Source organism: Homo sapiens, chromosome 20 (assembly GCF_000001405.40).
Source record: "Homo sapiens chromosome 20, GRCh38.p14 Primary Assembly".
NCBI classification, from domain to species: domain Eukaryota; kingdom Metazoa; phylum Chordata; class Mammalia; order Primates; family Hominidae; genus Homo; species Homo sapiens.
This window is the reverse complement of record NC_000020.11, coordinates 47,451,228-47,471,209: the sequence shown is the minus strand read 5'-3', so window position 1 is coordinate 47,471,209 and position 19,982 is coordinate 47,451,228. Positions and strand designations below refer to the sequence as shown.

At 45.2% G+C, this 19,982-nt stretch overlaps 5 annotated features.

Annotated features, from left to right (window-relative positions):
* Positions 2,373 to 2,532: an enhancer, noted in NCBI's record as "active region_17996". NCBI's record gives its function as "activates an Ori minimal core promoter by ATAC-STARR-seq in GM12878 lymphoblastoid cells {active_cell/tissue: GM12878}" and the evidence as "EXISTENCE:reporter gene assay evidence [ECO:0000049][PMID:35858748]".
* Positions 6,451 to 6,745: a silencer, noted in NCBI's record as "tiled region #10107; K562 Repressive non-DNase unmatched - State 6:EnhF". NCBI's record gives its function as "represses a minimal TATA promoter and a strong SV40 promoter by Sharpr-MPRA in K562 cells {active_cell/tissue: K562}" and the evidence as "EXISTENCE:reporter gene assay evidence [ECO:0000049][PMID:27701403]".
* Positions 17,153 to 17,362: an enhancer, noted in NCBI's record as "active region_17995". NCBI's record gives its function as "activates an Ori minimal core promoter by ATAC-STARR-seq in GM12878 lymphoblastoid cells {active_cell/tissue: GM12878}" and the evidence as "EXISTENCE:reporter gene assay evidence [ECO:0000049][PMID:35858748]".
* Positions 17,579 to 17,779: a silencer, noted in NCBI's record as "peak4231 fragment used in MPRA reporter construct". NCBI's record gives its function as "represses an SCP1 promoter by STARR-seq MPRAs in K562 erythroleukemia cells {active_cell/tissue: K562}" and the evidence as "EXISTENCE:reporter gene assay evidence [ECO:0000049][PMID:32103011]".
* Positions 17,858 to 18,058: a silencer, noted in NCBI's record as "peak4230 fragment used in MPRA reporter construct". NCBI's record gives its function as "represses an SCP1 promoter by STARR-seq MPRAs in K562 erythroleukemia cells {active_cell/tissue: K562}" and the evidence as "EXISTENCE:reporter gene assay evidence [ECO:0000049][PMID:32103011]".

Below are 19,982 nucleotides of genomic sequence, written 5' to 3'. Positions count from 1 at the left end.
TGCCCACCTCAGGCTCCCAAAGTGTTGGGATTACAGGCATGAGCCACCTTGCCCAGCCTTTTTTAAAATAGATTTTTTAAAAGACAGGGCCTTGCTATGTTGTCCAGGCTGGATTACAGTGGCTTTTCACAGGTGCAATGATAGCACACTGCGGCTACCATTCACTGCTGACCTTGAAACTGCCTCTGCCAAATTATGACAGTAAGATAAATTTTACATAGTTGACTCCATCTTGCTTCTGACCTCCAAACTCCTTGGTCATTCCTGGGCATAGGCCAAGCTAACTTTGGGAGGAATTTAGTTTATGGTTTTATCTTAAAGCAAAGATAATAATAGCCCTCCCCAAAACCAAACCAGCTTTGTAAAACTAATGAAAGGCCACAAGGTTAGCAGGATGAGAGGGGACTGAATTCTGATAAAATAGGCACAGTTTCTATAATCCTTTACTGCTCGGGAGTCATGTGGCCAGAGGTCACAAGATTTGTAACTTTCCCAATTGCTTCTATAGATAACATCACCTATAGAACCTAAGGTGGTTGTTGTTTTTTCTTTTTTGAGACGGAGTCTCGCTCTGTCGCCCAGGCTGGAATGCAGTGACATGATCTTGGCTCACTGCAAGCTCTGCCTCCTGGGTTCACACCATTCTCCTGCCTCAGCGTCCCTAGTAGCTGGGACTACAGGTGCCTGCCACCATGCCAGGCTAATTTTTTGTATTTTTAGTAGAGATGGGGTTTCACCATGTTAGCCAGGATGGTCTCGATCTCCTGACCTCATGATCTACCTGCCTTGGCCTCCCAAAGTGCTGGGATTACAGGCGTGAGCCACCACACCTGGCCCATACATGCGTTTTGTTTGTTTGTCTGTCTGAAATGGAGTCTCGCTCTGTTGTCCAGGCTGGAGTGCAGTGGCGCGATCTCAGCTCACTGCACTACAAGCTCCACCTCCCGGGTTCAAGCGATTCTCCTGCCTCAGCCTCCCCGGGTAGCTGGGACTACAGGCACCTGCTACCATACCCGGCTAATTTTTTGTATTTTTAGTGGAGACGGGGTTTCACCGTGTTAGCCAGGATGGTCTTGATCTCCTGACCTTGTGATCCGCCCACCTCGGCCTCCCAAAGTGCTGGGATTATAAGCGTTAGCCACTGCGCCCGGCCCATACAAGCATTTTAAATAATCTGAATGAGTTGTCAGTATTTGAATACTGGTAGATTTCACATAAAGATCTGAATTTCTGTCAATTTCTGGCTTCTTTTGAAATATGTATATAAAAGTATGGGAAAAGAGGGTCTACTTTCCTGATGGCTGATCTGAGGATCTGGAAAGGAGCATGGGCTCTCCAGTTTACCACGGTACCCACTATTCCCTGATGCCTTCCAGACACTGAGGCCAGTGAAGATTACAGGTTATCTTTCTCAAGCCAGCTCTATTCAGTGCATCTTAGGTTCCTGTTATGCATTTCAGTTTGTTACTCCTGTCCAGAAATTAAACTCCATCTGAGTAGACATTATTTCTGTTTTGGTTTCCATTATGCCCAGCATAGTACCATAGGATGCACTTAATAAAATTGAGAAAGAAAGAAAAGAAGACCGGGCATGGTGGCTCATGCCTATAATCCCAGCACTTTGGGAGGCCGAGGCGGGCAGATCACGAGGTAGAGATCAAGACCATCCTGGCCAACGTGGTGAAACCCCGTCTCTACAAAATACAAAATATACAAAAAATACAAAAATACAAAAATTAGCTGGGCATGGTGGCGCACGCCTGTAGTCCCAGCTGCTTGGGAGGCTGAGGCAGGAGAATCACTTGAACCCTGGGGCAGGGGCGGAGGTTGCAGTGAGCTGAGATCACGCCACTGCACTCCAGCCTGGCGACAGAGCGAGACTCCGTCTTAAAAAAAGAAAGAAAAGAAAGAAAAGAAGGAAAAAAAGGAAGGAAGGAAGGAAGGAAGGAAGGAAGGGAGGGAGGGAGGGAGGGAGGGAGGGGGAAAGAGGGAAAGCCCTCCCTCCCTCTGTTGTTTTCTCTGTCTGTTGCTCTGTTATTTGATCAGAGCAACCCAAAAGGACTAGTATGGGTTTCCTTATCTTCCATCTCCAGACATAGGAGACAGAACAAGAATATTTGCAAGGGAAAAAAAAAGGTCAGATAATAGGGTTGAAATAAGAAGAAAGAAAAAGAAACAAAAATGACCCCATTACCTGGGCATGCTTGCACGTGCCTGTAGTCTCAGCTACTCAGGAGGCTGAGGCAGGAGGATCACTTGAGCCCAGGAGTTCCAGGCTGCAGTGAGCCATGACTGCACCACTGCACTCCAGTTTGAGTGACAGAGTGAGACCCTGTGTCAAAGAAAAAAACGACCCCATTATTCAGATCTAGCAGCATGCTGCTATTTACCAGATTTAGCAGCCATGCTATTAAATAAAGATGTTTTTAATTAACAAAACATGCCTTTTCTTTATCAGTTTTCACTTTTCACTGAGTAATGCAAAAGAGGCATGTGTTTTGGGGGGGTGGGGAGGCACTGATGCAAATTGGGGTAGCGAAAAACATGCTTGAACTTGCCCCCTCTGGGTTTAGTCGGCACTCTCTATGCCCTGTCAAACCCTTCTGGAATGAACGTTTGATGTTCCGGGGGTAAATCTAAAATAACTCCAAGGTGACATGTGCTGCAGACCCTTGAGATTATGTGTTTGTAATCGTATGAGATAAAAAAAGAGGAAGCAGAAACACGCACATATATACACACGCAACCTTTCTACAGCTGGGCGCGGTTTCTATCAGCCTGGTCAACAAAGCCAAGCTTTCTGTAAAGAAACAAGCTGGGATCTTTCAAGGCCTTGGGTTCCGGGTGCCACTCTAAGGTCCTGCCTGTGCAGTTGACTTTTACACATCTGTTTTGCGAGACTTCAAAACCTCGATGTTCTGGCCACTTGGTTCTTGCAGCTGGCAGTTGGCACATTTAAGGCCTCTCCCCAAATGAAGGCCTTTGAAAATATATTTGAAAAATGTAGCCCCCACCAAATTTAAAAAGGCTATGAATAAAGACCGTTTGAACCTTGAAGCTCCACCTGAAGGCAGCAGTCCTTGGAAAGATTTCCTCAAGCTGGACATGGTGGCTCATACCTGTAACCCCAGCACTTTGGGAGGCCAAGGCGGGAGGATCATTTGAGCCCAGAAGTTCAAGACCAGCCTGGGCAACATGGCAAAATCCTGGCTCTACAAAAAATGCACAAAAATAGGCCAGACGCAGTGGCTCACACCTGTAATCCCAGCACTTTGGGAGGCTGAGGTGGGCAGATCACAAGGTCAGGAGTTTGAGACCAGCCTGGCCAACATAGTGAAACCCCATCTCTACTAAAAATACAAACATTAGCTGGGTGTGGTGGCACGTGCCTGTAGTCCCAGCTATTTGGGAGGCTGAGGCAGGAGAATTGCTTGAACTTGGGAGGCGGAGGTTGCAGTGAGCCGAGACCGAGCCATTGCACTCTAGCCTGGGTGACAGAGTGAGACTCCATCTCAAAAAAAAAAAAAAAACCCCACAAAAATCAATTAGCTGGGTAGCTGGGTGTGCGCCCATGGTCCCAGCTACTTGAGAGGCTGAGGCAGGAGGATCACCTGAGGCCGGGAAGTTGAGGCTGCAGTGAGCCGTGATTCCATCACTCAATGCCAGCCTGGGTGACAGTGAGACCCTGCCTCAATCAATCAATCAAAGAAAATATTCCTCCAGCACCAGTTTTCATGCAAGGGAATTTTTGTTCAGTTTGGTTCAGCCAAATAAAGTCCAGGATAGAACCTGGGTCTATCAGAGTTCCCCAAATTTCAGTGACTCATGTAACGCCTTTGAGATTTTTGCCATCGCCACAAATCACCTTTTTTTTTTTTTGAGACAGCGTCTCGCTCTGTCACCCAGGCTGGAATGCAGTGGTGCAGCTGTTACAGTAGGTAGCTAGTCAGACATGAACAGAGCAAGAGAGAGTTCCCCCACAACACACACACACCAGGAATGTCAGGTGACCAGAGGTGACCATCAGGTGATGCTCAGGCGGTTGTTAACTATCTCTCTAAAATAATGATTGGTCTCAGCCGACTCCAGGGAAAGGCAGTCTCCCAATAAGCAGAAAAAAAACAACAACCTGAAACTGGTGATCAGCAGCTTCCCAGTAAGATCTCAGGACTGGGTAAATGGGCTCAAGCATGGGAATTAAGAGGCAAAATGGCAAAGTTTAACTGATGACCGTCTAGGGACATTCAACTGGTAAGGGAAGAATGCCTCAAGTGAGCACGTACACAACTCCAATAAACACATTGCACGTGCAGACAGCCCATCCCCAGTGAAAAATCACGGGAGAAGGAACTCAAGACCCCGGAAGTATGTCAGCATATGAAACACAAATCACAGGTAAAACAGAGCGCTTGATTTCTCAAGTCGCCCGCCTGACCCTCTTCCAACATAGAAAGGCCCTGTTTCTACAAAAAATTTAAAAAATTAGTTAGACGTGGTGGTGCACACCACTAATCTCAGCTACTTGGGAAGCTGAGGTGGGAGGATCACTTGAACCCAGAGTTTGAGGCCACAGTGAGCTATGTATTCCAGCCTGGGCAACAGAGCAAAAGACCTATCTCAAAAAAAAAAAAAAAAAAAAAAAAAAGAAATGGTTTGACCAGTTAGAATTTTTCATTCCTTCTGGGTACAGTGATTGGTTCAAGAATGGGGTTGTGATCCAAGCCAAGTCTTTGAGGCTCAGTTCTTAAACTTTTGTTGCAACAGTTGCCTAAAAGATTCCTCTGGAATTGCTAACTTGGTAGGAAGTAAGTCTGTAGTTGCTGGAGCCACCACTCGGTAAGATTCTGCCTGAGAATAAAGCGGAGATGAGCAATAAAAACAGAGACCAAATAATTATGACCTTGTTGCTCAGATCCAGCCATGCCTGAAGCTGGGAAACTCTGAACTTTTGAGTTGTGCCAGCCAATACATTTCTCCCTAACATCTTTTTTCTTTTTGGTTTTTTGTTACTTGCAATTGACTGATAAATATACCACCACAAATGGCAGGATACATAGCAGACATTATTGTTGGCCTACTCAAAAACTTTTCTTCCTTTTTAAATGAGAATTCTGGTTGGGACCAGATGTCCACCCCTCTCCTGCTGGCCATGTGCTTCCAGGGAGATGGATCCCAGTCCCAACCCCAGCCTGAGGAATACATATGAACCAATCACGGTGATCCAGACCACTTGTCAGTGGTTGGTTTAGGCTTATCACGTGATGCCCTCTAGCCAATAAGACAAGAAAAAAACTCCGCTGCACGCTGGGAAAGGTTTTTCTCATTAACAGAAACGTGTTGTTATGACTTGAATGTCTGAAATTGTGGGCATTATCGTGGCATCACGAGTGAGAATATCTAACACACTAAGAGAGGCAGAGAAAGAATTTAGGTTCTGACAATATTTGAGCCCCTGAGAACTATCTATACCTATGGATCCTTGACAACTTGAAAGAGTTGCTCTCTTGGTGGCAAAGTTACTGTAGTAACTGAAGCCTCCCAAACCGACACCACCACACAGGAGAAAAGCATATGCTCAGGGCTTTCTCTTGAAAGGGAAGAAACTGCTTCCCTTCCGGAGTCCCAGATAAAACCTTGGATCTCATTGCCTCTCACTCAGTGATGTGTTCATCTGCGAACCCTAACAAGAAGACCAGGGAGGCCGGGCGTGGTGGCTCACGCCTATAGTCCCAGCACTTTGGGAGGCCAAGGCGGGCGGATCAACTGAGGTCAGGAGTTTGAGACCAGCCTGACCAACATGGTGAAAGCCTGTCTCTACTAAAAAAATACAAAAAATTAGCCTGGCGTGGTGGCATGTGCCTGTAATCCCAGCTACTCAGGAGGCTGAAGCAGGAGAATCACTTGAACCTAGGAGGCAGAGGTTGCAGTGAGCCGAGATTGTGCCACTCCAACCTGGGTGACAGAGTGGGAAGGCCAGGGTAAAGAAAAGACTTTGATTGATGTAAGCCAATCAGGACCCAACTCTGGAGCATGGGGCAAAGTAAATCTTATTCCAAAACACATGGAATTAGAGTGTGAAAGTTGGTGTTCTGTGGTTCCATTAATGGTGTCCTGGAAAGATTACAAAAGAACACTTACATTCTCTTCCAACCCAGGAAGTCATAGGACTTTGGGGGCGGGGGTGGAAGGAGAGAGAAAGAAACATGTCATTTGCTCAACATGGTACTTAGCATTATCGAAGATTAAGAAAATGTGTAGCACATGATCCCTGCTCTCAGAGAATTTACAAGTGAGATTAACTGCCCCTTAATATATCAGTTTGGGAGACCTGCCCTTCAAAGACTATATTTTTTTTGTTGAATACTCTATTAGAGTAACGCTAGCCACTGTAACAAATAACGCTCACATTTCAGAGGCTTGCATAATAGAAGTTTATCTCCTCTAGCGCTGCATTGCCAGTTGACTGACAGCTTTCCTCCATCCCTGGGGCCTCATCGTTGATGTCTGCATCCAGTGGTGGCAGGGGAAGGAGAATGGAAAAGGCGCACATGTTTCTCAACTGCTTTGTGCAGAGCTAATACACATTGCTTTTGCTCACATTCTATTTGCAGAATGAATCACAGGCTGTACCCAGATGCAAAGGGGATTGGGAAATATTGTCCCTGGCTGCTTTCCAATGACAACTCTATATCCTAAGGATAACTAGCCGTCTCCGTCACTCAAATATTGCCTGTAGTAATGGCAAATGCCCACAAGGATGCAGAAATGCCTTGATCGTGTTTAAGCAATTTAAATCATATACCAAAATTTCTCACTCTCAGCCCGATTGACATTTCCGGCCAGATAATTGTTTTGGGGTAATCCTGTGCATTGTAAGATTCAGTTTAGCAGCATCTCTGGCCTCTACCCACTAAATGCCAGTAGCACCCCCACCACCAGTTGTGACAATCAAAAACCTCTCCAGACAGTGCCAAACATCCCCTAGGACACAGAACATTTCCATCCCCCAGAAAGTTCCCTCTTGCCCCTTCCCAAAACAAGATAACCACTATCCTGACCTTTATCACCCTTAGTTTTCTCTATTCTTAGACTCCACATAAATGGAATCATACAGAATGAACTCTTTTTTTTCTTTTTTGAAACAGAGTCTCGCTCTGTCACCCAGGCTGGAGTGCAGAGGCATGATCTTGGCTCACTGCAACCTCCGCCTCCCTTGTTCAAGGGATTCTCCTGCCTCAGCCTCCCAAGTAGCTGGGATTACAGGTGTCCGCCACCACGCCTGGCTAATTTTTTTATTTTTTGTAGGAACATGGTCTCACCATGTTGGCCAGGCTGGTCTCAAACCCCTGACCTCAAATGATCCACCTGCCTCAGCTTCCCAAAGTGCTGGGATGACAGGCGTGAGCCACTGCATCCGGCATGAACTCATGTATCTGGCTTCTTTCACTCAAATAATGCTTTTCAGATTGAGTCACGCTGGATGCCCCAGTAATTCTTTCCTGGCTGTTGTTGAGTAGAATTCCATTTTGGGACCATACCATCATTTGTTTACCCTCTTGTTGTCGGGCACTTGGTTGTTTCCAGTTTGGACTATTATGAAACAAGCTTCTATGAACATTCTGGAACAAATTTTTTTTTCTTTTTTTTTGAGATGGAATCTTGCCCTGTTGCCCAGGCTGGAGTGCAATGGCAAGATCTCAGCTCACTGCAACCTCCACCTCCTGGGTTCAAGCGATTCTCTTACCTCAGCCTCCTGAGTAGCTGGGACTACAGGCGCGCACCACCACGCCCAGCTAATTTTTTTCCTCAGGTGATCCGCCCTCCTCAGCCTCCCAAAGTGCTAGGATTACAGGCATGAGCCACCACACCTGGCCTGGAACAAGTATTTTTATGGACATGGGCACACATTTCTCTTAATCCAAGAGTGGAATTACTGGGTCAGCAGTAGGTAAATGTCAAACTTTATTAGGTATTATAGTTAACCTATATTATTTTTAAGTTGTATTTATTTATTTATTTATTTTTATTTTTTATTTTTTGAGACGGAGTTTCGCTCTTGTTGCCTAGGCGGGAGTGCAATGGTGCAATCTCGGCTCACTGCAACCTCCGCCTCCTGGGTTCAAGCAATTCTCCTGACTCAGCCTCCTGAGTAGCTGGGATTACAGGCATGCGCCACCACGCCTGGCTAGCATTTATTTATTTTTTAGAGAGTCTTGCTGTGTTGCCCAGGATGGTCTCAAACTCCTGGCCTCAAGCGATCTGCCTGCCTCAGCCTCCCAAGGTGCTAGGATTATGAGCATGATCCACCACACCCAGCCTTCTCCTTGTACCCTTTCCTTCACCCTTCTTCAGAGGTAACCACTCTGAGCCTTTCTGCTCTGTCCTTCTAGAACATTCTTTCTATTTAGGCAGCTAGTTTATAGCAGTTAGGAGCTTAATGTGGCCTTGGGCACATGTATGAACTCTCTGTGTCTTCCTCATTCCTAAAAAAGGCATTTGTTTGTTTGTTTCTTTGTTTTTTGTGACAGTCTCGCTGTGTCGCCCAGGCAGTGGCATGATTTCAGCTAACTGCAAACTCCGCCTCCTGGTTCAAGTGATTCTCCCGCCTCTGCCTCCTGAGTAGCTGGGACTACAGGCAGGCGCCACCACACCTGGCTAGTTTTTGTATTTTTAGTAGAGACGGGGTTTTGCCGTGTTGTCCAGGTTGGTCTTGAACTCATGACCTCAGGTTATCCACCCACCAGCCTCCCAAAGTGCTGGGATTATAGACGTGAGCCATCGCACCTGGTCTGATTGCGTTTTTTTGCACACTTCTATCTGCTATGGTTTGACTGTCCCCTTGAAAATTCATGTTGAAACTTAATACCCAATGTGGCAGTACTGAGAGGTTCAGCCTTTAAGAAGTGATTGGGCTTGGCCCAGTGGCTCATACCTGTAATCCCAGCACTTTAGGAGGCCGAGGCGGGCAGATCACCTGAGGTCAGTTCAAGACCAGCCTGGCCAACATGGTGAAACCCTCATCTCTACTAAAAATACAAAAATTAGCCAGGTATGATGATGCATGCCTGTAATCCCAGCTACTGGGGAGGCTGAGTCAGAAGAATTGCTTGAACCAAGGAGGCCGGAGGTTGCAGTGAACCGAGATCGTGCCACTACACTCCAGCCTGGGTGACAGAGTAAGACTCTGTCTCAAAAAGAAAAAAAAAAAAAACAGAAAAACAAAAAACAGAAGTGATTGGGTCATGAAAGCTCTCATGAATGGATTCATCCATTCATGAATTAATAGATTAATGAGTTAATGGGTAAATGGATTAATGAGTTGTCATAGAGTGGGACTTGTGGCTTTAGAAGAAGAAGAAGAGAGACCTCAGGTAGCTGCTCAGGCCCCTCTTCATGGGATGCCCTGTGCTTCTTTGGGTCTCTGCAAAGAGTCCCCAACAGCAAGAAGGCACTCATCAGATGCAGCCCCTCGAGCCTGGGACTTAGCCTCCATAATTGTAAGAAATAATTCCTCATATATGTACCTACTATGTACCCACATAAATTAAAAATTAAAAAAGTAATAATTCCTTTTATTTATAAATTACCAAGTTTTATGTATTATGTTATTTCTGTTATAAGCAACAAAAAACAGACTTAAGACAATATTATTGAATTTTCCACAAAGGTCACTTCTGTATAAATTAAAGGAAGCCTGTACTTTCTTTTGTTTGGAACATTACCAAAACTTGTTCACTACTTTAGACAATCATGTCACTTCTGGCAATGCAACTCAGTAAAACTCAAGGGAGTTTTCATCACCAGTAATCACCCCTGTGTGGGTCCACGTTCAAGGCTGTCCCTTCACAGTGAATGTGCACATCTGACCTCTCCGATGCATCCTCAGTTAGATGGGGCCGAACACACTCATACCAAAATCTGTGTGTTAGGGCATCCTATGGGGGGGTTCCAGTGACAAAAGGAAGACAGGGAGAAGAGATGCTGAACAGACATTAAGAAGACTTGGCCAAGACAGGCGGTTAGCCTGAGCTCAGGAGTTTGAAATCAGCCTGGGCAACAAGGTGAAACCCCGTCTCTACTAAAAATACAAAAAAATTAGCCGGCTACTCCGGAGGCTGAGGCAGGAGAATTACTTGAACCCAGGAGGCGGAGGTTGCAGTGAGCTGAAATCGCACCACTGCACTCCAGGCTGGGTGAAAGAGTGAGACTCCGTCTCCAAAAAAGAAGAAGAGTTGGCCTTGCTGTAATTATTCCCATTTCATAGGTGGCTAAGGCAGGGCATAGAGAGATTCAAGTGGTTGAGGAGTGGAGGAGGCAGACTCAAACCCAGTTACCACTACAACTTACTTACCGCCTGTGTTAGTCAGGGTTCTCCAGGGAAATAGAACCAGTAGGATAGATAGATAGATAGATAGATAGATAGATAGATAGATAGATAATTATATTAATAGATGATAGATAATAGATTGATAGATGATAGATAGATCGCCTCTTGGCCTTTTGGCTAAAATCAAGTGTAGATTGATAGATGATAGATAAGTGATAGATAATAGATGATAAATAGATGATAGGTAGATAGGTACATAAATAGATGATAGGTAGATAGATGATAAATAGATGATAGGCAGATAGAGCAATAGATTGATTTATAATAGATAAATAATAGAAATAGATTGATAGGTGATAGATTGATAGATAATAGATTAATAGATAGATGATAGATAATAGATTGATAGATCATAGATGAGATAGGTGATAGATACCAGATGATAGATAGATAGATAGATAGATAGATAGATAGATAATAAAGAGATAAATAGATGATAGGTAATGCCCGTAATCCCACCACTTTGGGAGGCTGAGATGGGCGGATCACCTGAGGTCAGGAATTCGAAAACAGCCTGGGCAACATGGTGAAACCTCATGTCTACTAAAAATACAAAAATTAGCTGGGCGTGGTGGCACATGCCTGTAGTCCCAGCTACTTGGGAGGCTGAGGCAGGAGAATCGCTTGAACCCAGAAGGCAGAGGTTGCAGTGAGGCAAGATCACACCACTGCACTCCAGCCTGAGCAATAGAGTGAGACTCCATCTCAAAAAAAAAAATCAGCGATAGGTAGACAGATAATAGGTAGGTAGGTAGGTAGATAGATAGATAGATAGACAGATAAATAGATAGATAGTTATGAACAGGAAGAGATTTATTACAGGGATTGATTCATAGGATTATGGAGGCGGAGAAGTCCCACTATCTGCCATCTGCAAGCTGGAGGCCCGAGAAAGCTGGTGATGCGGTTCCAGTACGAATCTGAAAGCCTGAGGACCAAGGGAGCCAACAGCATCTGTCCTGGTCCAAGTCAGAAGGCCCGAGATGTCCAATGGCAGGAGAAGGTGGATGTCTCAGCTGAAACAGAGAGAGAATTCATCCTCCCTCTGCCTTTTTCTTCAATTCAGACCCTCAAGGATTGGGTGATGTCCATGCATGCTGGCGAGCAAGGTTCTTCTTTACTCAGTCTATTGTTTCAAATGCTAATCCCTTCTGGAAACACCCTCCTGGAAATGTTTTACCAGCTACCTGGGCATCCCTTAGCCAGTAGATTAACTATAACACTGTCTATGTGCCGCATAATTTTCTGGCAACTGTTCTCATAAATTGTTGAAAAATTGCATTGATAAATAAAGGTAAACACAGGCTCTACTGTTCCTTGTGTTCTCTGACACAGCATCCAATCGCTGGACGTCAGGGAGTGAGTCCCAATGTTACAGGGTACAAAGAGTTCAGCAAAGAAATGCTCTCAGCTGGGAAATTTGAATATATCAAGTACCTGCATATTTGATGACATTAGGAATTATTGTTAATTTTTTTTTTTTTTTTTTGAGACAGAGTCTTGCTCTGTAGCCCAGGCTGGAGTGCAGTGGCACAATCTCAGCTCACTGCAACCTCTGCCTCCCGGGTCAAGCAATTCTCCTGCCTCCGCCTCCTGAGTAGCTGGGATTACAGGCACACACCACCACATCCAGCTCCTGACGCCGACCTTGGGCTCCCAAAGCACTGGGATTACAGGCTTGAGCCACCGCGCCCGGCCATTGTTAACTTTTAAAATGTATGATATTAGAATTGTGATTATGACCAAAGTCGAGTCTTTATTTTTTAGAGATACACACGGAAGTATCCACAGAGTGGTGTGATAGCTGAGATTTGCATCAAAGTAATCCAAGCAGCAGGAACAAGAGTGGAGGGAAAGATGAAGCAGGATTGCCCCTAAATTGCTAATTGTCAATATCTTTTTTATGTTTTTATTTTTCTTTTAGAGACGGGATCTTGCTTTGTTGCCCAGGCTGGAATGCAGTGGTGGGATCATAGCTCATTGCAGCTTCCAACTTCTGGGCTCAAGTGATCCCCATCCTGCTTCAGCCTCCTGAGTAGCTGAGACTACAGGTGTGTGCCACCATGCCCAGCTGATTTTTTTTTTTTTTTGGATGGTGTGCACCCAGGTTGGAGTGCAGTGGCGCAATCTTGGCTCACTGCAACCTCTGCCTCCCAGGCTCAAGTGATCCTCCTGCCTCAGCCTCCCAAGTAGCTAGGACCACAGACGTGTGCGACCACACCTGGCTAATTTTTGTATCTTTGGTAGAGATGGGGTTTTACTATGTTGCCCAGGCTGGTCTCAAACTCCTGAGCTCAAGTAATCCAGCTGTCTCGACCTCCTAAAGTGCTGTGATTACAGGCGTGAGCCACCGTGCCTGGCCCACCCAGATAATTTTTAAATTTTTTGTAGAGACAGGGTCTTGCCATGTTGCCCAGGCTGGTCTTTAACCCCTGGGCTCAAATTATCCTCCTGCCTCAACCTACCAAAGCAGTGGGATTGCAGATATGAGCCACTGTGCCCACTTGAGCTGATAATTGTAGAAACCAGATAATGGACAAGGGAGATGATGATACTATTTTCTCTCCTTTTGTATGTTAGATTTTTTCATAATGAAATAATAATAATCAATAAAGGAAAGCTCCTGCTATAATTTTTCCTTTTTCTTTCTTTCTTTCTTTTTTTTTTTTTTTTTTTTTTTTTGAGACAGAGTCTTGCTCTGTCACCCAGGCTGGAGTGCAGTGGCATGATCTTGGCTCACTGCCACCTCTGTCTCCCAGGTTCAAACAATTCTCCTGCCTCAGCCTCCCAAGTAGCTGGGATTACAGGCACGTGCCACCACACCTGGCTAATTTTTGTGTTTTTAGTAGAGATGTGTTTCACTATGTTGGTCAGACTGGTCTGGAACTCCTGACCTCAAATGATCCACCCACCTCGGCCTCCCAAAATGCTGGGATTACAGGCCTGAGCCGCCACATCCAGCCTTATTTTTCTATTTAAGTCTGTAAAGCTGACTTCTCCATAAAAGGCATTCTAATTCATATCTATTGATAGAAAACCACAGTTAACAATCTATACACCATGGATGAAATTAGAAGCAGGTGAATTAAAGCTATCCAGTCATGAACTGCTTTCACTCTTGCTCAGAGTTCATCTTGATGGCTTCCTAATTCCCAGAAGACTGTCAGATGAGGCAGAGAACAATATCTCCCAAAAGTTTTTGTGGTATCTGAAGAAAGTGACTCATTGGAAACTCAAAGTCAGGGCCTGTGCGTTACTTATAATGATAGTTAACTCTTACATAACAGTGACTGCATGCCAACCTCTCTTGTTAGCACTTGACAAATATTAACCCATTTAATTTTTATCAATCTCAGGAAATACGTACAATTATTAAGCCTATTTTACAGATGAGGAAACAAAAGCATAGAGCGTTTAAATGACTCATCCAAGGTCTCACAGCGAGTAAGAGGTGGGGCCGGGATTTGAACGCAGGCAAACAGATTCCATGTCTACATTCTTCATGATGATTTTGACCACCTCCATATTATTTTGGTAATGCATCTCTGGCAGTTTACTGAGTATCAGATAACAGCGAATTGGGGGAAGGTTGGGGAAAGCAGTTAAGATCAGTGTTCATTCTGTGCCAACCTAAAGTATTCCTAGAAATAGCAGATAACTGAGGCCGGGCGCAGTGGCTCACACCTGTAACCCCAGCATTTTCGGAGGCTGAGGCGGGTGGATTACTTGAGGTCAGGAGTTGGAGACCAGCCTGGTCAACATAGTGAAACCCTCATCTTTACTAAAAATACAAAAATTAGCTGGGTGTGGTGGCCGGTGCCTGCAGTCCCAGCTACTCGGGAGGCTGAGGCAGGAGAATCACTGGAACCTGGGAGGCGGAGGTTGCAGTGAGCTGAGATCGCACCACTGCACTCCAGCCTGGGGGACTAAGCGAGACTCTGTCTCAAAAAAAAAAAAAAGAAAAGAAATAACAGAAAATTTACATTATGTGTCTCCCCTAGGAAAGCTATAATAAAATAGCCACCATTTAGGAAACTGCTGCTGTGAATAAGCTGCTGTGCTCACAGAAAAATACACTATGATAATCTCAGTTGCATCAATAAATATTCTATGTACCAGGCTCTATTCTAGATACTGAGGATACAGCCCTGAAAAGACCAACATGATTTAAACCCACGTGGAGCTTCTTGGGACCTACATTAACCACATAGTGGGGCAGAAGAGACGCTGCACACGTCTAGAGCTTATACCTTGAAAAACTTTGCAGCTTCCATTTTCACTCTTTTGGAACTCTGCCCCAAGACCACCACACCAGAAGAAACTCTGAAAGAAAACCCACAGAATGAGAGAGACTTAGCCACCTGGCTGTCCCGGCTGAGCCTTCAGCCACGTGCAGCTTCATGAGCAAACCCAGGTGAGACCAACAGAAGGGCCATGCAACCACCCAAAGACTCATAAGAAATAATAGGCCAGGCCCAGCGGCTGACGCCAGGAATCCCAGCACTTTTGGAGGCTGAGATGGGCAGATCCCTTGAGTCCAGGCCTGTAATCCCAGCACTTTGGCAGGTCGAGGCAGGCAGATCACTTGAGGTCAGGAGTTTAAGACCAGCCTGGCTAACAAGGTGAAAGCTCGTCTCTAATAAAAATACAAAAATTAGCCAGGCATGATGCTGCATGCCTGTTATCTCGGCTCCTTGGGAGGCTGAGGCAGGAAAGTCACTTGAACCTGGGAGGCGGAGGTTGCAGGGAGCTGAGATGGTGCCACTGCACTCCAGCCTGGGTGACAGAACAAGATGCCATCTCAGGGGTTGGGGGGAGATCCCTTGAATCCAGGAGTTGAAGACAGCCTGAGCAACATGGTGAAACCCCGCCTCTACAAAAAATTAGTCAGGCATGGTGGTACAGGCCTGTAGCCCCAGCTACTCGGGAGGCTAAGGTGGGAGGATCACTTGAGACTGGGAAGTGGAGGTTGCAGTGAGTTGAGATCACACCACTGCCCTCCAGCCTGGGTGACAGACACCCCATCTCAAAAAATAAATAAATAAATAGTGGACATTTATTGTATCAAACAAATTCCCAATACATCATTCAGTGTCCAACTTGGGGTGGGGGTGTGTTTTTTTGGGGGGAACCTAATTTATCTCAGATCATAGAGATTCAAACCAAGATCAGAAGAGCTGGTGGTTGGTTGTTGTTTCTGAAAACTCATAGCTAGACCCTCAAAAGTTAATAAATGCAACAGGATTTAAAACTCAGCTTTGTTTGTCTTGGTGTGTTACGAAAGAACACAAGAAAAAAATTGCATTTCACCACTCCTGTGGCTTAAGAAGAAAGCGACCAAACAAGTCAATTAACCTGTAAGTGAGGGCCCAGTCATGTGGTGGAGAGACTCTCCTGCCGCACACAATCACTTACAGAGGAGCGGAGTCAATAACAGCCAAAGATTTCACCTGATAATTGTCAAAATGTTTAAATACACCATTACAGTGTGCAAACAGGACTTTATCTTCAGCTCCAAGCACATCAAAACCACTGGTTTAATTCCAGCAGCTTATGCTTTCAAAGGAGTATTGAGTGAAGGCATACAGGGATGGGCTGAAATCCACACCTTCCCCCAGGCAGATCAACAAACCTTTTCGCTGGGCTGAGTCCAGCTTCTGAACTTTTGTACAAAATCTCTAACACCCACTGTCACAAAAAACTGAAGACCTGTCTTAGGACCAGGGATGGATCCAGGTTTTGTGGTACCTGAAGCTTAGACAATTTGGGGGAGCCTTCTTTAAAACAAATACAAAATTTAAGTACAAAATTAGGTATAAAAGTGAATGTTTAGGCCAGGTGTAGTGGCTCATGCCTATAATCCCAGAACTTTGGGAGGCCGAGGTGGAAAGACTGCTTGAGGCCAGGGGTTCGAGATTAGCCTGGGCAACATGTGAGACCCTGTCTCTACAAAAGATTTTTTAAAATTAGCCAGGTGTGGTGGCATGTGCCTATAGTCCTAGCTACTCGGGAGCTGAGGCAGGAGGATTGCTTGAGCCCAGAAGGTTGACACTGCAGGGAGCCGTGATTGCACCACTGCATTCCAGCTTGGGAGACAGAGCGAGTCCCTGTTTCCTGTTTCAAAAACATAAATAAAAAAGAAGAAGAAGAAAGAAAAGTAGAAGAAGAAGAAGGAAGAAGAAGGAGGAGGAGGAGAGGAAGAGGAGGAGGAGAAGGAAAAAGGTGAATATTTAAAGTGAGAACAGGGCCAGATGCAGTGGCTCACACCTGTCATCCCAGCACTTGGGGAGGCCGAAGCAGGCAGATAGCTTGAGCTCAGGAGTTCGAGACCAGCCTGGCCAACATGGTAAAACCCTGTCTCTACTAAAAATATACACACACAAAAAATTTAGCCAAGTGTGGCGGTGTGCACCTGTAGTCCCAGCTACTTATGGGGGGCTGCGGTGGGAGGATCACTTGAGCCCGGTAGGTTGAGGCTGCAGTGAGCCAAGATCATGCTACTGGACTCCAGCCTGAGTGACAAAGTGAGATCCTGTCTCAAAAAAATAAATAAAATAAAATGAGAAATCACAAAAAAGTCATGGGGCTGTGTTAGCCAGACTCCAAAATGCCCTCCAGTGATCCAATGATCCTTTGCCTCCTGGTGTGCCCACCTTGTGCAGTGCCCTCCTCTATTGCACCAGGGTGGTCTGTGTGACCCGTAAAATTAGGCAGAAGTGATGGTGCATCATGACAATACTGCTTCTGTCTTGGTTCTTTCTCTCTCTCTCTCTTTTTTTTTTTTTTTTTTTTTGAGATGGAGTCTCACTCTGTTGCCCAGACTGAAGTGCAGTGGCACCATCTTGGCTCACTGCAACCTCTACCTTCTAGGTTCAAGTGCTTCTCGTGCCTCAGCCTCCTGGGTAGCTGTGATTACAGCGTGCACCACCACACCTGGCTAATTTTTGTATTTTTAGTAGAGATGGGGTTCACCATGTTGGCCAGGGTGGTCTCAAACTCTTGACCTCCAGTGATCTGCTCGCTTCAGCCTCCCAAAGTGCTGGGATTACAGTTGTGAGCCACCACACCCAGCCCCTCTCTCTTTCTTAAAACTTCTCTCTTGGTTTCTCTCTCTCTCTCACTTAGTGAGGGAGCCAGCTTCCATGTCATGAGGGACTGAAACCTTCTGACCACAACCACATGAACAAGCTCAGAAACAAATCATCTGGCCCCAAAGAGGCTTCCAGCCTCTGCAGCCCAGCCAACAGCATGACTGTAAACAGGGCAGATACCCTGAGGCAGAACCACCCAGCAAAGCCACTCCTGGATTCCTGACCCACAGAAACTGTGAGATAAATGTTTTATTGGTTTAAGCTGCTAAATTTTGAAGCAATTTGTTACACAGCAATAGATAGCTAATACAGAGGCCTTCAGAGACTCATGTTCCTGTCTTCTGGGATGGTTTTAGGTCATTATTTATTTACTTACTTACTTATTTTTCTAGACGGGGTCTTGCTCTGTCTCCCAGGCTGGAATGCAGTGACTCAATCATGGCTCACTGCAGCCTCCTGAGCCTCCCGGGCTCAGGAGATCCTCCCACCCCAGTTTCCTGGGCAGCTGGGACTACAGGCGTGTGCCACTGAGCCCAGCTTTAAGTAATTTTCCAGAAGCGTTCACATACAAATGCTTTCTCTTTGCAGCCTGGATTCCATCCCCACTGAAAACTCCTTCCAATGCCCAGCACTACTGAATCTCTGCTTCCTAAAGGTGTGTGGAACACTGAGTAGGAACTCAAGCTATATTTGCTGAATACATGGATATACAAGAGCCTTGCAAGAGCAATATTTCATCCTTATTTTATAGATCAGGAAATGGAAACTCAGAGACATTAAGTAACTAGCTTAAGATCACACAGCTAGAGACCGACTAAGTCTTAATTCCTCAATGGAAAGTTTTTAGAACCTGTAGTGTCAATTTCTTTGATGCTTTCCATAGTACCAAGTACATACTAAATGCTTAATGCAGATTGACTGAAAGAGTTAATGGTGTGAGATGGGTGTGGTGGCTCACACCTGTAATCCCAGCACTTTGAGAGATTGGGTGGTTGGATGGCTTGAGCCTAGGAGTTCAAGAACAGCCTGGGCAACATACTAAGACCCCGTTTCTGCTAAATGATGTGGTGGCTTACGCTGCACCTATGGTCCCAGCTACTTGGGAGGCTGAGGTGGGAGGATCACTTAAGCCAGGTAGGTCAAGGCTGAGGTTAGCTGTGATCGTGCCACTCACCTCTAGCCTGAGTAACAGAGTGAGACCCTGTCTCTAAAAAAAAAAAAAAAAAAAAAAGTTAAGTTAATGGCATAGCAGGTCTTTATCTAGTTAGGTAAATGTCTCTTTAATATAGAAACAAGAGGCCGGGCATGGTGGCTCAAGCCTGTAATCCCAGCACCTTGGGAGGCCAAGGCGGGCGGATCACTTGAGGCCAGGAGTTGGAGACCAGCCTGGCCAACATGGCAAAACCCTGTCTCTACTAAAAATAAAAAAAATTAGCCAAGCATAATGGCACGCATCTGTAGTCCCAGCTGCTTGGGAGGCTGAGGCAGGAGAATTGCTTGAACCCAGGAGGTGGAGGTTGCAGTGAGCCAAGATCGCACCACTGCACTCCAGCCTGGGTGACAAAGCAAGACTCCGTCTCAGAAAAAAAAATAATAAAAAAAAAATATACACACATATATATACACATATATACATATATATATATAAAAACAGGAACCATGGTGGGGTGGTGGCGGGGGCAGAGAAAACAATGTGTTATTATACTTTCTTCCTCACAAACAGTAATGGAGCAGTGGCAGTATTTTATGAAAAAAAACGGACAAAACCACTTCAAAAGTGTCCAGACACTAAAATTTAAAATAATAAAGGGTTTGTATTTCGTTTCATGAACAATATTAAAAAGTTAATTTTGTTGGTTTTAAAAGCCTATGTAAAACCAATTAATTTGTGGTTCATGTCCCCCTCTTTTGAACAGTAACAACATCTCCAGATTGACGCACACAGTTAGGGGTCTAACCACCCAAGAGTAATCATGGGCAATCCTGGGATGGCACTTTCTTCCCTTCAAGTGGTCACTGGAGTTGGCCAAGGTCAAAAGTTAACCAAGTGTTCCAGCAGCCTGGGGGTTGTGGTGAATTACGTGAGTGCCCTGCTTTCCTTTGAACCCTCCGATTCTCTGCAATTGCAATAATTTAGGGGTGCGGATATTCTAATTAGGCCATGTGAAATTTAATTTCATAGTGGTGAAATTTGCAAGGTCTTCTAAATGTGCACGGAATAAACATGGAGCCTTTGAAAATTCATGGACTTGTTGGCTGAGTTGTTATTCACAAAAGTCTCTTCAACTCCAAGCACAAAGTCTGGGACATATTAGGTGGTCAATAAATTAATAAAGCTGACGTGAATGGGAGTTAATTGGACATCTAAATGAGAATGGATCACTCAGTATTTCCACAAATTCCATCTCTTTTATCAACAAGGCCTCTGGACTCTGTGCTGTCTGATCACAAGGATTTCATTCTCCTCTTTGCCTAGGAGAGTCAATATCTATTGATTTAACCTC